Here is a 20,125-nt window from a genome sequence, read left to right as displayed (position 1 = left end):
CCTCATTTACTTCTTAAAAAGGTACATGGTAATTTAATAAGTGCCTTATTGAGCTGTCGTGAAACTAAATGAGATAACTCATGAAAAGAACTTGGAACAGAGATTTTATTAAAGCAACTCTTCCAGGATTTAACTGGAGGCCTTTTCTGTTCTAGGACCCAGATAGAAGTCAATGGAGCTGGGCTGGGAAGACATTTGTGACAGCCTCCTGCTGAACTTGGAATTGCACCTCCCACCACAGAAGGCTTTGCTACCAGGTCAAGCTCCTCAGACCGGTCATTCCTCACTCTTTTTTTTTTTTTTGACAGGGTCTCACTCTGTTGTCCAGGCTGGAGTGCAGTGGTACAAACACAGTTCACTGGAGCCTTCCAGGGTCAAGTGATCCTCCTGCCTCAGCCTCCTGAGTAGCTGAGACTATAGGCATGCACCACCACACCTGGCTAATTTTTTAATTTTTTGTAGAGACGGGGGTCTTGCTATATTGCCCAGGCTGGTCTCAAACTCCTGGCCTCAAGTGATCCTCCTGCCCTGGCCTCCCAAAGTGCTGGGATGACAAGCATGAGCCACCATGCCCACTCACCACTCTTTAAGAGGCTTCTGGTTGCTCACAGGTCTGGTTTTTGGCAGTTCCATTCCATTGGCTCCCGGATGTACCCAGGTATGTCAGAATCACCCCTCCCCATATCAACACAAATTAGCATCCAAACCTGATTTTCCACACTTCAAAGAGACAAGGCTCTCTGAAGAGGGTGGAAGCTGGGTCCTGGGAAGCATCATTCTGGAAGGGCTTTGACGGCTGGCTTGGCTGACACAAGGGGGCACAGTGCTGCCCTGCTTGCTGTCCCTCTAGTCTAACCTTTCCTCCTAAGCCTCCTCAGTCATTGCTGCAGAGACTACCCCCAGGACATTTTGCAAACAGCCATTTGGTCTCAGCCAGGCCTGGACCCTTAGTGAAGCAGGACAAGGAGAAGGGAAGGAGCTTCCTAAGCTGTCTGAAATATGCCCTTGTTAGACGACCGACCTTCCTTCCTTCCTTCCCATCTTCTCCTTCCTTCCTTCCCTTCTTCTTCCTTCCTTCCCTTCTCCTTCCTTCCTTCCCTTCTTCTCCCTCCTTCCTTCTCTTCTTCTCCTTCCTTCCTTCCCTTCTTCTCCTTCCTTCCTTCCCTTCTTCTCCTTCCTTCCTTCCCTTCTTCTCCTTCCTTCCTTCCCTTCTTCTCCTTCCTTCCTTCCCTTCTTCTCCCTCCTTCCTTCCCTTCTTCTTCCTTCCTTCCCTTCTCCTTCCTTCCTTCCCTTCTTCTCCCTCCTTCCTTCTCTTCTTCTCCTTCCTTCCTTCCCTTCTTCTCCTTCCTTCCTTCCCTTCTTCTCCTTCCTTCCTTCCCTTCTTCTCCTTCCTTCCTTCCCTTCTTCTCCTTCCTTCCTTCCCTTCTTCTCCCTCCTTCCTTCCCTTCTTCTCCTTCCTTCCCTTCTTCTCCCTCCTTCCTTCCCTTCTTCTCCTTCCTTCCTTCCCTTCTTCTCCTTCCTTCCTTCCCTTCTCCTTCCTTCCTTCCTTCCTCCCTCCCTCCCTTCCTTCTCTTCTTCTTCCTTCCTTCCTCTTTCTTTTTCTTTTTCTCTCTTTCTTCTTTCTTTTTTGGTCCCACTATGTTGCCCAGGCTGAGTGCAGTGGCTATTCACAGGTGCAACCATGGCTCACCACAGCCTCCAACTGCTGGCCTCAAATGATCCTCTGGCCTCAACCTCCTGGGTAGCTGGGACTACAGGGGTGTGTCACCATACCTGGCTAGAGTTTCATGTCTTCGGGTTAAACATTGATGTATTCAGATTCCCCTTTAAAAAATGTAATGTCCAAGAGCCCTTTTAGGATCTGGAATCTGGCTCATTTCCCACTATTCTTTCATATATGCCCAATGTCCCATCCCCAGTGGACAGCTTAGTGTTTCTGGAACTGGGCTGTGCTTGGTTATACTTCTGTGCCTTTACCTATACTGTTCCTTTACCTGAAGCACCCTTACTCACTTTCTCCGCTTGAGCAGCTCCTACTGAACATTTAAGACACAGCTTAGGCTGGGTGCGGTGGCTCACGCCTGTAATCCCAGCACTTTGGGAGGCTGAGCTGGGCACTTCACCTGAGGTCAGGAGTTTGAGACCAGCCTGGCCAATATGGTGAAGCCCTGTCTCTACTAAAAACACAAAAATACACCTGGCTTGGTGGTGCCTGTCTGTAATCCCAGCTACTCAGGAGGCTGAGGCAGGAGAATCGCTTGAACCCGGGAGGCAGAGATTGAAGTGAGCCGAGATCTCGCCACTGCACTCCAGCCTGGGTGACAGAGCGAGACTCTGTCTCAAGCAAAAAAAATAAAAAAAAAGACACAGCTTAGTTGTTGCCTCCTCCATCCTCCAGGCTGAGTTAGGGGCTCTCCATTGTGTGCCCATAGCATCCCATACTAAGTTCCGTTATCGCCCATATCTCTGCTGGTAACTGTTGGTTTACTTGTCTGCCTCACTCACTAGACAGTGCATTTCTTTCTTTTCCCTTTCTTTTTTCTTTTCTTTTCTCTTTTCTTTTCTTTTTCTTTCTTTCTCTTCTCTCTTTTTCTTTCTCTCTCTTTCTTTCTCCTTCCTTCCCTTTTCTTTCTTTCTTTTTTTTTTTTATAGGGACTCACTCTGTCACCCAGGCAGGAATGCAGTCGTGTGATCACGGCTCACTGTAGCCTTGACTTCCTGGGCTCAAGTGATGCCCCCACCTCAGCCTCCCAGGTAGCTGGGACTACAGGTGTGAGCCAACATGCCCAGCTAATTTTTGTATTTTTTGTAGACACGAGGTTTTGCCATGTTGCCCAGGCTGGTCTCAAATTTTTGGGCTCAAGTGATCCACCCACCTGGGCCATCCAAAGTGCTGGGATTACAGGCATGAGCCGCCGTGCTCAGCCCAGTGCATTTCTTCCCCCCTCTCTCCTTCCCTTCCTTCCTCCCTCCCTCCCTCTCTCTCTCTCTCTCTTTCTCTCTTTCTTTTTTGAGATAGAGTCTCACTCCATCACCCAGGCTGAAGTGCAGTGGCGCGATCTTGGTTTACTGCAACCTCCGTCTCCCCAGGTTCAAGTGATTCTTGTGCCTCAGCCTCCTGGGTAGCTGGAATTACAGGTGCATGCCACCACACCTGGCTAATTTTTGTATTTTTTTTTTTTTTAGTAGAGACAGGGTTTCGGCATGTTGGCCAGGCTGGTCTCGAACTTCTGACTCCCAAAGTGCTGGGATTACGGGTGTGAGCCACTGCACCTGGCCCCAGTGTGTTTCTTAAAGGCAGGGCCCATGACAGATTCACCCCAGTGTCCTCAGCATTCAGGATCTGGGTATACAGTAGGTGCTCAAGCGTGTTCTCGCTATCTGTATAAGTGGGTGACTGCCGCTGTCCTAACTCCAGCCACCTCTATTGCTAACCTGCTGTCTACTTAGTTTGGCCTCCTCCAACAAGCAGACCCTGAGAAAGGATTTGAGTGCAAGTAGTTTATTTGGAAGATAAGAGAATACGGGTAAGGCAGTGAGTGAGGAAATGAGACCTGGAAGAGAAGGCAGCCAGAAAAGTTGTTTTCAGGCAGGTTGGCACTGTGGGAGAGTGGCTCTGAATCCCACTGGGGAAACTCTGGGAGTCAGTGCAGAACAGATATCCTACCTGAGATGTGAGGGAGCAGGGGTCTATATGCCCCAACTAAATTAATCATCAGTCCTCAGTCAAGAGCACTCCTGGGGAGCACTGAGACCCTGGCAAATCTAGTCGACTGCATGGAACAGCAAAGCACACTTCTGTGGCTAGAAAGGGCTCAGGCAAGGAACCACAGGGGCTGGCGGCCAGAAGTCGGGCCAGTGTGCACCCAGGTGGTAAGGCCGAGGGACACGGGCCAGCCTCCTGCATTGGAGCTGCTGCAGCAGCCTCGTCAGTGGTCCCTACCTCCAGTTTCTCCATCCCAATCCCAACCCACACACTGCTGGATGTCAGGGATTGTCTCACTCATCTTTATGTCCCCAGCATTCAACAATAGGGCCTGTCTCAGAGGTGACACCTGGTGAGTACTGAACAAATGAATGAACAAATGACTGAATATGTGATTCAATGGAGGGCTGTCAAATTAGCAAAGTTTTCATGCCTGGCAGGAGAAATTAGGGGTCTGGAGATCCCTGGGAGCCCAAACGCAGAGAGAGAGAGACAGCGAGAGAGAGAGAGAGTGCACAGAGGTGGGTGGTAGGGTGAGGGCAGGAGGGATGGAGGTGGGCAGTGATGGGGAGGAGAGGGGACTTCCTGTGGCTTTGAGGCTGGCTGGCCAGGTGGCCATGAAGAAAGGCTCTTTTCATATATTTTATGGGGCGGGGAGGCTCCCCAGGCCGGAGGGCCTTGCTGCTGTGGGAACAGTTTCCGCCCTGGGCCTGTGGGATTGCGTGACTCCTGGAGCACTGGGCCCAGGGTGTGGAGGCAAGCAAATGCCATTAGCCCTATCAGTGATCTCCCGGTGCAGATATGGAAGTTTGAGGAGGCCCAGCCGGCTCTGCCCAACTGTAAAGAGACGTGATTGAGGCGGGTCATGGGAAGGTGGCAGTGATTAAGGGGGGTCGAGTCCTGCTGACTTCCTGCCCAGCAGGTAGTGGTGACCAAGGGAGTCAGAGGATCGGGTGTTAGTCACAGCACAAACCCTCTCACAAAGCTTGTAAAAACCAGGCAGAAAGTTTGCTGGGGGACCTCCAATAGCTCCAGGGAGAAAACCTCATTCCCTTGGAGCTGGAATTGTACCTGCCCTGAGGACTGACTCAGGAGCCGCGGGTACAGAGACACCAGGTCAGGTAACAGTACTAATAACACGGCGGCCCCAGGAGTGCTAGTCTGTGGTGTTTGCGAAGCACTTTCTCCTTCCATTATCTCATCTAATCCTCCATATGGCCCTGTTAGGTCTGTAGAAATAAGGATCACCTCCATCTGATTGATGCGAAAACGGAGGCCCCAAGGCTTCATGCTTGAAAACATGGGGGTGGGAAGGAAGAACGGGCAGGGCTTCTGAGCCGGGGCTGACTTTCAGCGCTGTTTTGGCGCTGGCTGGGGTCCAGGGATGCAGATCAGGGCAGGAGGGGGCGGTGGCAGCAGCCCGGGGAGAAGGAATCTGAAGAGTGAAAGGACTCTGCCCTGTGGGGCCCTGCCGTCTGGGCCACTGCTGCCCTGATAATAAAACTCTCTCTCCCAGAGGCGAGATAGGCACTCAGGGAACCTTTCCTTTGAGTTACCGGAGAGAATAAAGTCCTGTGAAGGAGTCAGCAAGGCATGCCTCTTGGACGGTGTGCGCGTCTGTGTGTGGAGACAGAGTAGAAGAAATACCCACTCTGGGGCAGCATAAACAGCCACAGGGGAGGGGGAGGCCCATTTATGGAGGCCCCTAACCTTCAATTCCCAGAGGTCTTTGGTTCTGCCAATTTGAAGGACAGTCACCGTATTTGAATTTAGAAGAACTCCCAGTTCTGTCACTTAATGGCCTCAGTTTACCCACCTGTGAAATGGAACAATACTATTTCTCTCAGATGGTCACTGTGCTGGAGAAATGAGATGACGGGCAGTTAAATGGGAATCCCATTTCTCCAGCAGCCCCCGGCATGCAGAAGGCGCTCTGTACATCTTTAGGGAGCCAGTGGATACAAAGACAACGCAGACATTCAGACCTCCTGAGCCCAGTGGGAAAATGGGGTTTGCGGGGCAAGATGATTGACCTACGGTCCTACAGGGAGCTCCAGCAGGAACACATGTTGGCCTCCTTTACTGTGGCTGTTCTGTAACCCTGGTCACCTTCTTCCCCAGCCTGCCTGCACCTCTAAGCTCCAGACACCCATAGATCAAACAGCCAACGAGACACCCCCGCCTGGGTGCCCCACAGATACCTCACCCTCAGGATTTCTGAAGCAGAACTTATGAATGTTCTCTCCAACAAGCCCCCTAGTCCAATAAAGAGCATGTCCCTGTCCCACAATCCATGTCACCTGAGTATCACCTTGAGAGTTCCCCCTCCCTCACCTCCATGTTAAGTAGATCCTGGACTGTTTCCCAAATCTGTCTACTCCTTCCGACCCCAATGCCAGTGCCATTCCCTCACCATGCCACTGCCACCTCTTATCTGTATGATGGTCACAGCCTCCTCGTGGTCTCCCACCCTCCAGTCAAGTCCTATCTCCTCGGCTGATGAAGGGATCACCAGAGGGAATATCTGATTTGCAACTTCCCTGCTTAAAACCTTCCAAGGCTTTCCATGCTCCCTGGATAAAGTAGAAATCACTCCGTCCATCAGTTTAAGTCCCGACCTATATTAAAAAAGCCTTGATTCTATTCTAGTGTTCCAGCCATTCCTCCTCCCCCAGCACCCTCATATCCCAGCCACATCTCAATATTTATACTTCCCAACATGCCACGTGCTTTTGTGCATGAGCCCTTTGCCAGCTGTTTCTTCCTTGTCTGCCTGGGCCACTCTTATAAATCCTCCCACTCATCTCAAATGTCACCTCCACTGTGAAGCCTTCCCTTTACCTCCCCGGGGCAGAGTGAAACCTCTTCCCCACTTCCATAGCAACAGAAACCACAGAGCTCAGGTTATCTGGGAAATTTAAAATAAATTCTTTCGACGTCGAATCATAAGTGCAATGTGGGGCTGGAGAAACATGGCTGTCCTCTTTCGTCGTGACGTGCACAACCCTCTGTCCCGGCATTTGTGGCATTGGGTTACGTGCTAAGTGCTCTCATACTTCATCTATCTCATTCCTTAACGGTAACTTTGGGAAGTAGGTATGAGCTTGCCCAATTATAAAAGAGGAAACCTAGACAGTTACATGGCTTGCCTACGGTGATACAGCTAAGAAATGGCTGCGTGGGGGATTTGAACCCGCCTGCCTGCCTCCGAGCCATTCCACTCCTGGCACCTGTCGGGTGTCTTGGCGTTGCCAGCGTTTGTGTTTATCTCTTCCATGAGAGTGAGTTCTTTGGTGACCCAAGTCATGCCAGGCTTATCTATGTATCCCCAGAGCACGGGGACAGCTGGGGACAGAGAATGTCAGTGAGCATTTGCTGACACGGAGCTCAAATCTTTTCCTCTTCCCTCCTCTCAGGCTGACCATGAGTGACCTTTTCTCCCCTTTCAGGCTGTCTCCTGGGCTCCATTTTGGCCAGATTTCCTTTGTCTCCACCGTGCAAAAAGCAGGGTCACGGGACTCAAAGTCTGACTATTACCCAGGAGACGCTGGGCAAGGAACTTCTCTCCCTGAAGGACAGGAGGGTCTGTGCCTCTCAAAGTGGGGTACACAGCCCTCTCTTAGGGGCACCCGAAGCCATAGGAAAGATGTAGTGCTCCATGCTGGGGACTCTTTTTCTTCTCAAAGTTTTGGGGTAGGTAGAAATAAATGAAGTCATTTAACTTCTAAATGATACTTTATACATTAATTTTAAAGTTACAAATATATATAATATCTATATATAAGGTATTTACATATATAGGAGTAAATGACAAAGCTCATGTTAACTTTCAGAGGAAAACCTGCGTGGGCTGCATTAGACTACACTCCTCACATCTCCAGGGAACATGATGGAAACATGCAGGAAGCACCCCATAGGGTCGCACCGGGTTCCCAGCTGCAAGCACCCACCCTGGCTAGGGACGTAAGGAGATGCAGAATGAGTCAAGCTCCCTTTCCTTCTGCCGTGGTTCCTAGGTCCTCTCTTGCAGCAGGTCTCATGTAATGGAAAGACCATGGCTCTGGGGCTAGGAGGACCTAAGTTGGAATCCTAGAATGGAGTTATGGCTCTGTGACCTCAGAGTTCAGTTTCTCTCTTTCCCTTTGAGTATCATGGGCTTGAGAATACTGTCCACCTGTGCGGAATATTCTCCTTGCCCCTCAGATGCCCCCTCCACTCTTCTCTACCAGGCTGTGTGCTCCAGGAGGCTGAATCGCACGCATGGTATCCATTGGCTCTTTTGCTCTCTGGCTTCCAGCTGGACTTGGCCAATGGGAGACTTTGGCAGGAGGTTGAGAGGAGAAAAGGACTCCTCTTGGCCATGCTGGAGTGACCAGTGGTTGCATTCCTTGGTGTTAGGGGTGCGACTCCTGAGGGGAGCCTCTTCTCTGCCTGCAGCCCTCTGGAGGTTGTGCCACCTTTTCTTCCCTTGTCCTTTAGAGCTGGGCGGGTGGGGGGTAAAGGCTTTCTGCGGAGGCCGGCCTTGGCATGTTTCACTATCCTTTCCTGGTTTCCCTTCATTTAACCCTCCCACGACTTTGAATCTAGTCTCTGCATGACACGCTCCTCAATGGTCTCTTTTGAGTGTGCCATTTCCCCCTGCTGGGATCCTGACCCATAAACCACCTCACCGGGCTTGTGGAAGGATTCAGCAGACAGAGGGCAGTTTATAAGTAAAGCTTGTACTTGGTGCTGGAGAATACTTGCTATCGTGAGGTGACAGAGTGGGGAGACAGGGGACACGAGGGGGGCAGCCCTGGCTAGAATCTTGACAGTAGGAGGCAACTCCTAAAACTCCTCCTTCCCCAGCAACCGTCCCCCACCCTGCAGCCCTGGGAGGCCTGGCTGGGGAGAGGCTTTTCCAGGGCACGTTTCCCACTGCTGTGGCAGCAGCGGCAGCATCATCGATAACACGCCGGCTCCTCGGAGGCCTTCCTGGCTCCAGCCCATCTGGCAGGCTCAGGCGGCCAGAGACCCCGGGCCAGGAGCTGCCAACCCGCTGACTCAGCACAACGCCCCTCTCTGAGCAGCTTGGCTTTGGGTGGGAACCAGCCATCCATCCGGTGTCCCTCCCCTCCCCTTGGAGGTGGCTGGACCAGCCCCAGGCCTTTAATAAGTGCTGGCTGTTGCCTGGTCCAGGCCTAGGTCGCTAGGAGGGCTGAATGCAAGCACAGGCAGCAGAGAACACAGGCCTCCGAGGGTCAGCCAGAGAGGGCTCTTTCTTCCTGCCAGCCTCCCCTGGAGGCCCCCAAGGCCTTGGGATATCAGAGCTAGAAGGGCAGACCAGCTCTCTGTGGAGATGGGGAAACTGAGGCTCTGAGAAAGTGACTTCCCAAGTCCCACTGCAAACCCCTATCAGACCCAGGCAACACTGGACAGGTCCTCATGGGCAGAGTCTCATGATTTCTTCTCTGGTGGTGGATGCTGGTTACCAATGTCCCCTGGCCAGGATGAGCTCCTAGCAAATCCTGTGAGGTTGGAGGTACTCGTCTTTTGAAGATTTTAATAGTTTATGGGACTTAAGCACTTCATCCACTTATGACCTCTCATTCTCACAACAACTCTATCAGATAGGAATTGGGGACTTCGCCAACTAGATGAAGAAACTGAGGCCCAGAGACAGGAAGCAACTTACCTAAGGTTGCACAGATAGTATGCGGCAGAACCAAAGTCAAACTTTAGTCTTTCCTGCCCTAACGCTTTTGCTCTGCCAACCAGGCAACACTGTCTTTGGTTATTCTGGAGACAGCACAGCATACCAAGAAAGAGCCCTAGCAGGGGTGGGCCTCTGGAAGCCTGAGGTCCAGCCTCAGCCCTGCCTCTCCATTTTTCTGGCCTAGCTCCTTCACCTCTATGGGCCTTTCTTATCTGTAAAGAGTAGTGATCAGGCTTGCCCTGCTTTTTTTCATTTACTCTATAAAACATGCAGGGTAGGTGCTGCTATTCCCATTTTATGGCTAGGGAAACTGAGGCCCATTCATCATGAAGGAATTAGATGTAATTTGCTGAGATAGTTCTACAGGCCAGGTATGATGTCCCCAGAGAGGAAAGTGACCTACCCAAGGCCACATACATAGAAAATGGCAGTGCTAAGTCTCAAACGGACAATGGGGGCTCTAACCTACACTTTCCGGCTTCCAGTATTGTGGAAAAATGGCCAGGGGATCACAATTTTCCAACTCTTGCGGGAAGCCACTAGGATCCTCCTTGAGTCAAGCCCGTGGCACTAAATAGACCCCAGGAATGACACTCTCCTGGGAACTTTTGGCCTGGAACATATTTACACAGCTCCGGAGGGGATGAAAATATCCCAACCCACTCCCTACAGACTCAAATTAGCAATTTTCTTATTCTTTATAACCCCTCTGGAAATTCCAACTATGTAATATTAGGCTAAAATTAGGAGTGTAAGTCACAAGAGAAAAGTCCCACTACTTGGGGAGAGAATGTTTTTGTAGCCTCATCCTGAGCATGTGTTCTAAATCAGAACACAGCAGTTGTCTTTCAAATACTGTTTTTTTCTCCTAATCCTTATAGATTGGAGGCAAAATCTTTTGAGAGAATGTATTTTTACTCTACTGCCAAGTGCCAAATTCAATCCCGGCTTTGAGTTTCCAGGCTCCTCAGGTGAGGTCCAGAACACTTGCACAGGAAGACCTGTCCCGTGGGCCCAGAATGCCTCCTTAAAGGTGGGGCACTTTAACAGCCGCGGCAATAACGTTACCCGCAGCCAACACTACCGACTGGTTTGGATGTACCGGGAACCTGTGTGAAGTGTTTTACAACCATTATTACATTTAAGCCTCATAACAGCCCTCTAAGGTGGATATTATCTCATTTTACATATGAGGGCAATTAAGGCCTAGAAAGATTAAGAGATTGGCCAAAGCCATATGGACCTAGAACCATAGCTGTGAAGTTAGACTTTTAACCCAAATCAGCGTAACTCTGCATTCCACCCCAGGGTGCCGTCTCCAATAATAGTTGCTATTTATTGAACACATACTGTGTGCTACACACAGTTCTAAGTGTCTTATATAATAATCTCTTTTGTTTTTAATATGCTTTTTTTTAATTTTTATTTTTGGAGACAGAGTCTCACTCTTTTGCCCAGGCTGGAGTGCAGTGGTGCGATCTCGGCTCACTGCAAACTCTGCCTCCTGGGTTCAAGCAATTCTTCTGCCTCAGCCTCCTGAGTAGCTGGGACTACAGGCACACGCCACCATGCCCAGCTAATTTTTGTATTTTTAGTAGAGACGAGGTTTCACCATATTAGCCAGGCTAGTCTTGAACTTCTGACCTCAGGTGATCTGCCCGCCTCAGCCTCCCAAAGTGCTGGGATTACAGGCATGAGCCGCCGTGCCCAGCCTCTAATTTTCTTGAGGTCTATGACCAATGCAGGCCTTTTCTGGACATGAGATATGGGACAGGCAGGCTTTGACATATGTGGATAAAAATGACCATGAGATCTCCATGAATTAGATTAAGAAGGTGAAACGAAGCTCCTGGAAGCAGAGGGCCTTTGTAGCTTGGGGCAATATGAGCAACGGTAGGGAATGGATATCAACAGGGGATAGGGCCAGTGTCCTTAAGCTGTTTATGATTGAGGCAAGATATTGCGACCAGATGAAAGGGAAGGAGGTGAGCTGGAGCCCCCAGGGTGCAGGAGCAAGCATGTGGTAAGTGTGAGCCCAGGGGCAGAGCCAGGCCTGCGGGGTGGAAATCACCCAGGGCCTTAGAGGGGAGAGAGCTTCTTGTCTCTTCAGTAGTTGTCTGTGGGTTGGGCAACCATCAGGAGCATTGTAGAGAGAATTTCTACTTTGGGGAGTGTTGACTTTCGGGGCGCTGACTTTCCAAATTGCAAATTTGACCATGTCTCTCTTCTGCCTGGCAGCATCCCCGGATCCCAGTTGCTACCAACACAGCCCGAGAGAGCTCCTCGTCAGGGAGGACAAGGCTCCCACAATTTGCCGCTGACTGGCCACATCCACATTTTAGCCTGGGAGCTGTGGGCCACGCCCCTCACCTGGCCGTTTTCTGAACGCTTGGAGAATTTCACACTCTTGGGCCTATGCACACGCTCTGCAAATCCTTTCACCTCTCTAGGCACTTGTTGCGTCTGCTGAGCTGTGACTACTCATCCACAGACTGTGCCCCCCTTGAGAGCAGGGCCTAGTCGCGGTCACCATCATAACCTGCTAGACATGACTGGAGTATGGATTATGTGTTTAATGAATGCGGTGGGGCTCTGGGACATTGTATGATCTTTTGAATTCTTAAAACCCTGCTATTTCTTTTCAGTTGGTGTTAAATGGAGGATGTACCAGGTGCAATCCCACGGTCAGGGTGGAGACGTGCAAATAACAACATTCATGATGCAGAGACAGCCAGGGGCTGAGGTCAAGAACCAGGATGAGGGGGTGAGCAGAAGGTAGGGAGGGGGCCACCTAGTGACCATCAGGCATCTTGGTCCTCCTGTCTCATAACCCAAACTCTTGGAGTGAATGAGTAGGAAAAGGGGGACCAGAAAGCAATGGGGATGGGCATGGTGGAAATGAGCTTTGGTTCTTTCTCTCAGGATGTAGAATTAGGAGCCCCGCACCCGCCCATCTCCACTAGGTATTTCCAAGGGAATGGGTATCCAGAGGCCAACATCCAGCCCCTCTCTCACCCAGCTCTTTCCATCAGCACCACACGGTCAGCGGGTGATGTCAAGCAAGGAGGACCTGTCCAGGAAAATACCTGCTTTTTAGCCTCGAGGGAGCCAAGAAAAAGTCACTGGAGTCCAGAAGCCACCAAGAAAGCCCGCCACAGATGCCTCTGTCCCCTTCCCTCTTTGCCCCTCAGTGGAGGTGGTGAAGCTGCCCCTCTGGCTTCCTCTAGTTGGAAATTCGCTATGTGACATCAGCTAGTGCTGCCACCTCTTCCGACCCTGAGCCTCCTAGGCTCCTTGCTCTGCACCCACATTGTAAAAAAGGAGCCAGAAACTCAGGCCAGCCTAATTTCTTATGGCGGCTGGAGAAACAGGGTGTGCAGCTTTGTTTCTTCTGTGTGTCCCCTCTTCGTTCCTGGGCTCCACACACAGCGGGAGGAAGGAAAAGGGAGCCCGTTCCAGGGAGGTGCTGGGGGAGGGCTCTTGTGGGAGCCTGGAAACCCTTTCTTGACTCTTGACCAAAGTTACTTTTCTTCCTATTTTTATTAACACACATCCCTACATGTGTTTGTGTCCAGAGAAAGTACTATGAATAACTGATGACAGATTCGTTAACTTATGATTCATCCTGGGGGAGAGAAAGAGGGAGAAAGGAGCAGGAGCTTTGGAGGCTGAATATAAAGTGTTGTCAAATATTTAGCAAATGATCTTCCAAGCCACAGGGAAAAAGTCAGAGATGGGAATTTGAAAGCTGCCAGGATTTAAAAGCCATTTAATGCTAACCATCAGTGCCAGAGAGCTGAGAGCGTTTCTCTTCCTCCTTCCATTGGCAGCAACAGCTCCGATAATGTGGAAAGGCTTGGATGGGCTGCGGAGCGCTGGTGGGAACTGAGACCAGGCAGCGGGGCTGAAAGACTTTTTGTTCAAGAAAGCTTGTAAATAAGGGAGCGCCTCAGAAGTGGACTCTATCTTGTCTACTGCCTGTACATTCTCTCTTCCAAGAGATCCCTGACCATCAGCTCTCTACACAGAAGACTCTAGCCAGTCATCTGGGTGTTTGAAAATAAGTTTCAAAATATCCTGATGTTTGGCATCAAGGAAGAAAAAAAAAGAGCCATATGACTGACTGAATTTGTCACTTTCCTTCCAAATGTTTTGGTGTTACTTAGACAATGGCTTCAGTCTTTGTCTATCTGTCATCCTAAAGGTTTGAGCTCAGAAAGGTCTCTCCTGAAGGGTTAGGAATCCTACATTTTTAGGGCTGGGGTCAGTACTCACTTCTATAACCTGATTCTTTGGAGATATAGTTATTTTTAAGCAAAAGATGAACAGGTCTTTCTTGATATTTTGGCTTGAAAACCTCAAGTCTGCAGTTATGTCTCCTGAGTGTAAATATCCTAAGGCAAGATAAATTAAGGGAGAAGTGGCAGGGAAATTTAGGTCAGTGGAAATAAGCGTCCCGCACAACAGACACCTCCAGATAGTTTGGTTACACTCGTAAGCTTGTCCAACCTGCCTTATTTTGTTGTTGTTGTTTGGTTTGATTTGGTTTGGTTTAGGCTTTTAGTAGCCTGAAGCCATGGTTTTTAATTTCTGTCCCTAGTGGTAAGTGGAAAAGAGGGATGAGGAAGGGGCTTTATTGGCCCAGTCAGAAACAGAAATGGAGAACCCATGACTCTATTCTCTCCCTTAGACACCCCGTAAGGCATTCTTCAAAGACATAGTATGATGAGTTCATGAGTAGCCAATGCAAGTGAATTTGGTGGATTGAATCAACGAATCTATTCACTGTGCCAAGAATGAATAGATTGTCACGCCTTCAGGGAACTTAGAATCTATCTGCTTGGGAGGCAAGCATTCCATTAATGATGCGGATAGTTAGCCTCTCAGTTCAGAAAAGAGATCTCTGGACAGAGTGGTCCCAAGGAGGAGGACAGGAATAATCACAGCAAAACTGCCTTGCAGAAGGAGAAAACAGAAAGTAGCTCTTCTCCCTCAGTTTTTTTTTTCTTTCATTGTGTTCCTGTTATTTTGCTTCTCTGGAATGTCTTTTCTCCTCCTCTCTACCTATTCCAGTCTAACACTTCCCTGAGGCCCTCTTCAGCAAATCCACAGATTCAGTCTCTGGGATTCCAATCTTCACTCATCTTACTTCCTACAAACTCTTACCATTCACCTGGCATGTGATTTCATCTGCGTATTTGAATCTGTATGAAAAAAGATTAATCTTTTCTCCTCAGTTTATAATCGGTAAATTCTTTTTGGCAGGTGTCAAATCTTTTTTATCTTTTTTTAGAGACAGGGTCTCACTCTGTGGCCCAGGCTGGAATACAGTGGCATCATCACAGCTCACTGCAGCCTCAACTCCCAGGCTCAAGCAATCCTCCCGCCTCAGCCTGCGAGTAGCTGGGACTACAGGTGTGTGCCACCACACATGGCTAATATTTAAAACTGTTGTGGAGACAGGGTCTCGAACAAGAGACCAGCTCAATCGATCCATCCACCTTGGCCTCCTAACGTGCGTGGATTAAAGGCTTGAGACACCATGCCTGGCGCAGATACCAAATCTTAAAAAAGTTCTGTGTTCCCCAGAGTTTCTAGCAGTGCTCAGTTGCTGGCCACTGGCTCTGTGGGTGCGCAGTGGCATTGATTAGTAGGTAGTATACGAGTAGGCTGCTGGTGGTGCGTGAAAATCTCGGTTAGGATTGTGGAAGAAGACTGAATTCTGGGTAATCCCAGGGATATGCTGCATATCAGCACATCCAGGCTACAAAACACATGCTCTGAGCAGTTTCTGATTCTGAAGTTCCCCTTCCCTTCTTAGTTCTGATTGTTAAAGCAGATGCAGAGTTCCGAAAAGTTGTAAATTGAGTAAAAAATTAATTTACTGAGAATGAAAGTGTATCAGCAGTTCCACTCACATATTTTAAAATGTCTAAGAAAGAAAAGAAAAATAAAGGAAGAAGGAAAGGAGGGAAGGGAGGGAGGAAGAGTGAGAGGGATGGAGGGAGGGAGGGGAGAAGGAAAAGGGGTAAAAAAGAAAGCCTGGGGGCTAGGGTGGGAAACACACAAGACTCAGTCTTCAAATACTATCAGCAATTTCATAATATGGTAATTTTTAATATTAAAAGTAAATTGTAAATGTGTCTTTATAAACAATATGCATAAAATAGATCATATTCTAAAACCTTTTCTTTTTAAAATGCTTTTTCACAGTAAATTTCTTAGGTGTCAGATTTTCCCTCAGAATAGTGCAACTGGAAGAAGGGAAATGTTGGCAGTGGCTCAGGACTCTCTGCTAGTACAAGTCCTTGTAGATCTCCTGCAGGAGCGGGTGAAGACTCATGTCTGTCTCCGTCTTCTTGATCACCTGCAGTAGCTGCACGTGTTCCGTGACAATCTGTCTGAGGTCTGTCATTTTCTGGAGCAGCTTGGCAAACAGCTGTGAGGACTCAGGGTGGTTCAGCTTCAGCTGGAGCTCCAGGGCTTGTAGCAGGTTGTCTTGAATGTCTTCAATGGGCTTCACATTCAGCAAACCTGGGCGGTCTGGGGAAGCACATATGGAAAACACAACAGGGGGTTCAGTCAAAAAATCCTCTGGGCCCCGCCTTGGAGGCCTAGGCAGCTCTACCAAGCAACTCATCTGTATTTTTGGTTTGTTTTGCTTTGTATCTTAAATAGGTGGGGAGGAAGGGTAAGCAGATAATGGGTAAGAACTAAGGATGGAATCAGAACCAAAATGATCAGAGCTCTTTGCAGGGCCTTTTTCTGGCCAGGATGTAATCTGTGTGGTCAGCTGAGGGAGCATGGCATCAAAACAATCCTGTTCCCCAAATGAAGTTTCCTCTGCTAACGTGTTTCTACTCAGAAATCTCCTTTTCTTTTCTTTTCTTTTTTTTTTTTTTTGAGATGGAGTCTTGCTCTGTCATCCAGGCTGGAGTGCAGTGGCATGACGTCGGCTCACTACAACCTATGCCTCCCGGGATCAAGCTATTCTCCTGCCTCAGCCTCCTGAGTAGCTGGGATGATAGGTGCTCACCACCACGCCTTTCTAATTTTTGTATTTTTAGTAGAGATAGGGTTTCACCATGTTGGCCAGGCTTGTCTCAAACTCCTGACCTCAAGTGATCCACCCGCCTTGGCCTCCCAAAGTGCTGGGATTACAGGCATGAGCCACTGTGCCCAGCCAGAAATCTCCTTTTCAACTTCTGCTCCTTCCTGATGAATCTACGTTTTATAGCTTCTACTCAGTTTCTTATCATAGCTTCAAATATGCTTTTTTCACAAATATGCTTTTAAAAAAAGGTTTGTCTTTTTGCTTAATTTGCTTATGCTATGTTTGCTTAATATGGCATATTTCCAAAGGACAAAACACAGTTTTAAAATACTGATACATTTTAACAGAGGTTTCTTTTCAGTGGTAAGATTGCAAGCAATTTTCACTAGTTCTTCTTTAGATTTTTCTTTAGTTCAATTTGCAAATGGTGAACTTAAATTACTTTTAAGCAGTTTACTTTTTTCTTTATGTAGATCTTGTTAGATTTATTCTCAAATACTTTATAGCTTCTATTGTGAATGGACCCTTCATTTTCATTACATCTAATATATCCCCACTGATGTGCAGAAAACTAATTGATTTTAGTATATTGAAACAATTCCAATTTTCTGAACTTTTATCAGTTCAAATAGCTTTTAATCATGGATTTCTACTTTTTTTGGATAGATAATTATATCAGCAATGGTAGCTTTATTTATTTCTTCTTTTGCAGCATTAACCTTTCTCATTTCCTCTTCTTGCCATAGTGTGTTGGCTAAAACCTCCAATATGGGATTAAATAATAGTAGCAATAGTAGCAATTCTTGTTTTATTCCTAACTTTGAAGGAAATGCTTCTAATGGTTTATCAGCAACTATGATGTTTGCTATAGATTATGGAGAACATGTTTTACTCCTGGCTTTCCAGGGGTTTTACAATTTTAATTTGTTTTAGTCAGGAATGTTGTTGAATTTTTATCAAATACTTTTACATTTTTCTATCTAAAGAGCTATGATATCTGAAGAGTTATGGTTTTATCTTAACCTAGCACAGTGAATTACATTAATAGAGTTCCTTATACTCTTGTACTCACTTGCTAATATTTTATATAGAGTTTTTGTATTTGTAGGTGATACTGGTTTAGAGTTATTTTGGGGGCCATTCTTTGCCTGTTTTAGTAACAATGTTAACTAGCCTTATACACCAAGTTGAGAGGTTTGCCTTCTGTGTCAACGCAGTAATGATCTGTTCCCTGACGGTTTCTTAGAATTTGTTTGCAGAACCATCTGAGCTTGGTGATAAATCTATCACTATCTTTAATTTTTCTTCCATAGCTTTTATCTATTCAGGCTTTCTACTACTTATATGGTAAAGTTTTAGTAATTTATATTGGAATAAAGTTGTAGATGATATTGTCTTAGAATATGAAATGTATTATTTTTATTCACGCTCCTTAACTTAACGCTTTTTTTTTTGTGACAGAGTCTTAATCTGTTGCCCAGTGCAGTGGCATGATCATGGCTCACTGCAGCCTCCAACTCCTGGGTTCAGGTGATCCTCCTGCTTTAGCCTCCCAAGTAGCTGGGACTATAGGCATGAGCCGCCACACCCAACTAATTTCGAAATTTTTTGTAGAGGTGGGGTCTTGCTACGTAGCCCAGGCTGGTCTTAAACTCCTGGCCTCAACCAATCCTCCTGCCTCAGCCTCCCAAAGTGCTGGGAATATAGGCATGAGTCACCATGCCCAGCTCTTAGAGCTCTTTATTTGTGCATTCTCTCATTAAAAAAATCTGATTTGTCAAAGGTTTATCTATTTTTTGCTTTTTTAAAAAAGACATAGCTTTTGGTTTTATTAATCAAGTCTGTTTTTAAAAATTGTGTGTTTTGTTTTTAATTTATTGAATTCCTTTTTAAAACTTTCTTTAGGTTTACTTTCTTCTCTTTTTCTAGTTTTCTTGAGTTGAATGCTTAATTCATTTGATTTGGTATTCTTTGTATTCTAATAAATGCATTGAAGCCTCCACATTTTCTTCTTAGTGCCACTTTGGTTTCATCCCATGGGCTTTGATAAACGGTACTCTCATAGTTCTTTTCTAAACAGCTTGTCTTACAATTTTGATTTCATTTTTAACCTAAGAGTTATATAGAAGCATGTTTTTAAATTTCCAAGTAAAAAGTTTGGGTTTCAGTTTTTGTTTTCTAATCTCTAAGTTTTATTTTCTAATTTCTCAGTTTGTTGCCTTGGGTTAGATTATAAGGTTTTCTCAGTCAGGCTCATCAAGAAGACAGAACATTCACTTGATCATCTATCTCGTATTGATTTCAAATTTGAGCTCCTGAAGGCTATTTATTTTCTTTTAAAAACTGTAACTCTTCTCTCCTTCATGGTATGAGTTTTACCCACCTTTAATGTCCTTCATGACCTGGTCCTGGTCATCCTCTAGTCTCAGTTCTGTTTCATTTTGCTCCATGTTAAGCCATATTAATCTATTTCCATACCAAGTTCCTCAAACACCCTATGTTCTGTCAGGACTCTGCACTTATTCAGATTTTATTCTTCCTGCCTGAAACATTCTCACCTTCCCTTCACTCTTCTTATTGACTTCAACCATTTCTTCAAAATACAGCCTGTGGTGGGATTCCATCCTGAAATCCTTCCTCAACAGTATCCCTTCCTCTCTCCTGTTCATCTCATCTCCTTTCTCTGGGCCCTCATAGCACCCTATAAACACCTCAATCGCTACTATACTAGTAGATTACATTCACTGAATGGTTATTATTTTCCAAAGATCGTGCCAAGGGCCTTATATACGATATGCCATTTAATCTTCACAATAACCCCATGAGGTCATACTTTACAGAGGGAGAAATTAAGACTTAGAGAAAAGAGTTGCATCTTACCAAGATAGACCACTTGCTAGTAAATGCAGAGCTGACATTTGGATCTAAGTCTGTCTGGTTCCAAAGGCTCTGCTCTTATTCCTTATTATCTTGTATTGTAAGTTCTGACTTTCTTGTTTCTCCCCCGTTAGACCGTGAGGTATCAGAGGGCAGAGACTACGTTCTGAACCACCAGTGGAAACACAGGAAGCATTTGGTTGACTGAGTTAATGAGCGAGAAGGCTGTTCTGGCCAAGAGCCCTGGATCAAAAAGCACAATTCTCCTGGCTGGTGAACAGGCCTGAAGGCAGAATCCCTACACAATGAAGAAGTCTGTAAACGATGTTTTCCTGTGTCTAATAAACTCTAGTGACCTTTATCCATTGAGATAAGGCTCAAGAGAACAATGTGAGATGGCAGAGTGGTCTCAGAGTGGGATTTTCAGAACTCTAAATATTCTTCTAAGTTAACTTTCTTACTTTTCTTCCATTAAAGAAGGAAACTGGTCTTCAGTTTGATTTTTTCACTCTCAGGTCTCCAACATATCCCATTGACCAGAGTAAGTATAATTTTCTTTTTAGATTTCAGCATTCAATTTTGGAACCATCAGCAAAAGATCTCAGATTCTGAGAAGGAACAAATGATCTGGTCCTGGCCTGGAGAATTGGGCCCCTGGGAGCATGGGGTCTTCCTCGCAGTTGCTCTATGGGAATGAAAAAGCCACTGATGCTTCATTGAAGGCTGGGCCCCAGACTGGCACCTTGGTTTAATGACTACAGATCCTCCTGCTTGATGAATGTGTGCATCTCAA

The 20,125-nt window shown here is 47.0% G+C and overlaps 1 protein-coding gene across 14 annotated transcripts in view, besides 1 other annotated feature; it reads right to left on the bottom strand.

The window, feature by feature from the left end:
* Positions 4,090 to 5,289: an enhancer, noted in NCBI's record as "P300/CBP strongly-dependent group 1 enhancer chr3:12486052-12487251 (GRCh37/hg19 assembly coordinates)". NCBI's record gives its function as "activates an origin of replication core promoter dependent on BRD2, BRD4, P300/CBP, MED14 and CDK7 cofactors, with strong dependence on P300/CBP, by STARR-seq in HCT116 cells {active_cell/tissue: HCT116}" and the evidence as "EXISTENCE:reporter gene assay evidence [ECO:0000049][PMID:35650434]".
* The window catches only part of PPARG (peroxisome proliferator activated receptor gamma), a 146,977-nt gene continuing 142,349 nt past the window's right edge, over positions 15,498 to 20,125 (bottom strand). For all 14 annotated transcript variants that reach the window (NM_001354666.3, NM_138712.5, NM_005037.7 and 11 more), the window contains one exon: positions 15,498 to 15,944. In NM_001354666.3, coding sequence (NP_001341595.2) covers positions 15,697 to 15,944 — 248 coding nt within the window. In that variant the 3' untranslated portion in view covers positions 15,498 to 15,696. The remainder of the gene's footprint in view (positions 15,945 to 20,125) is intronic.

The sequence above is a fragment of the Homo sapiens genome, chromosome 3 (genome assembly GCF_000001405.40).
Source record: "Homo sapiens chromosome 3, GRCh38.p14 Primary Assembly".
Classification (NCBI taxonomy): Eukaryota; Metazoa; Chordata; class Mammalia; order Primates; family Hominidae; genus Homo; species Homo sapiens.
This window is presented reverse-complemented; position numbering and strand designations above follow the sequence as displayed.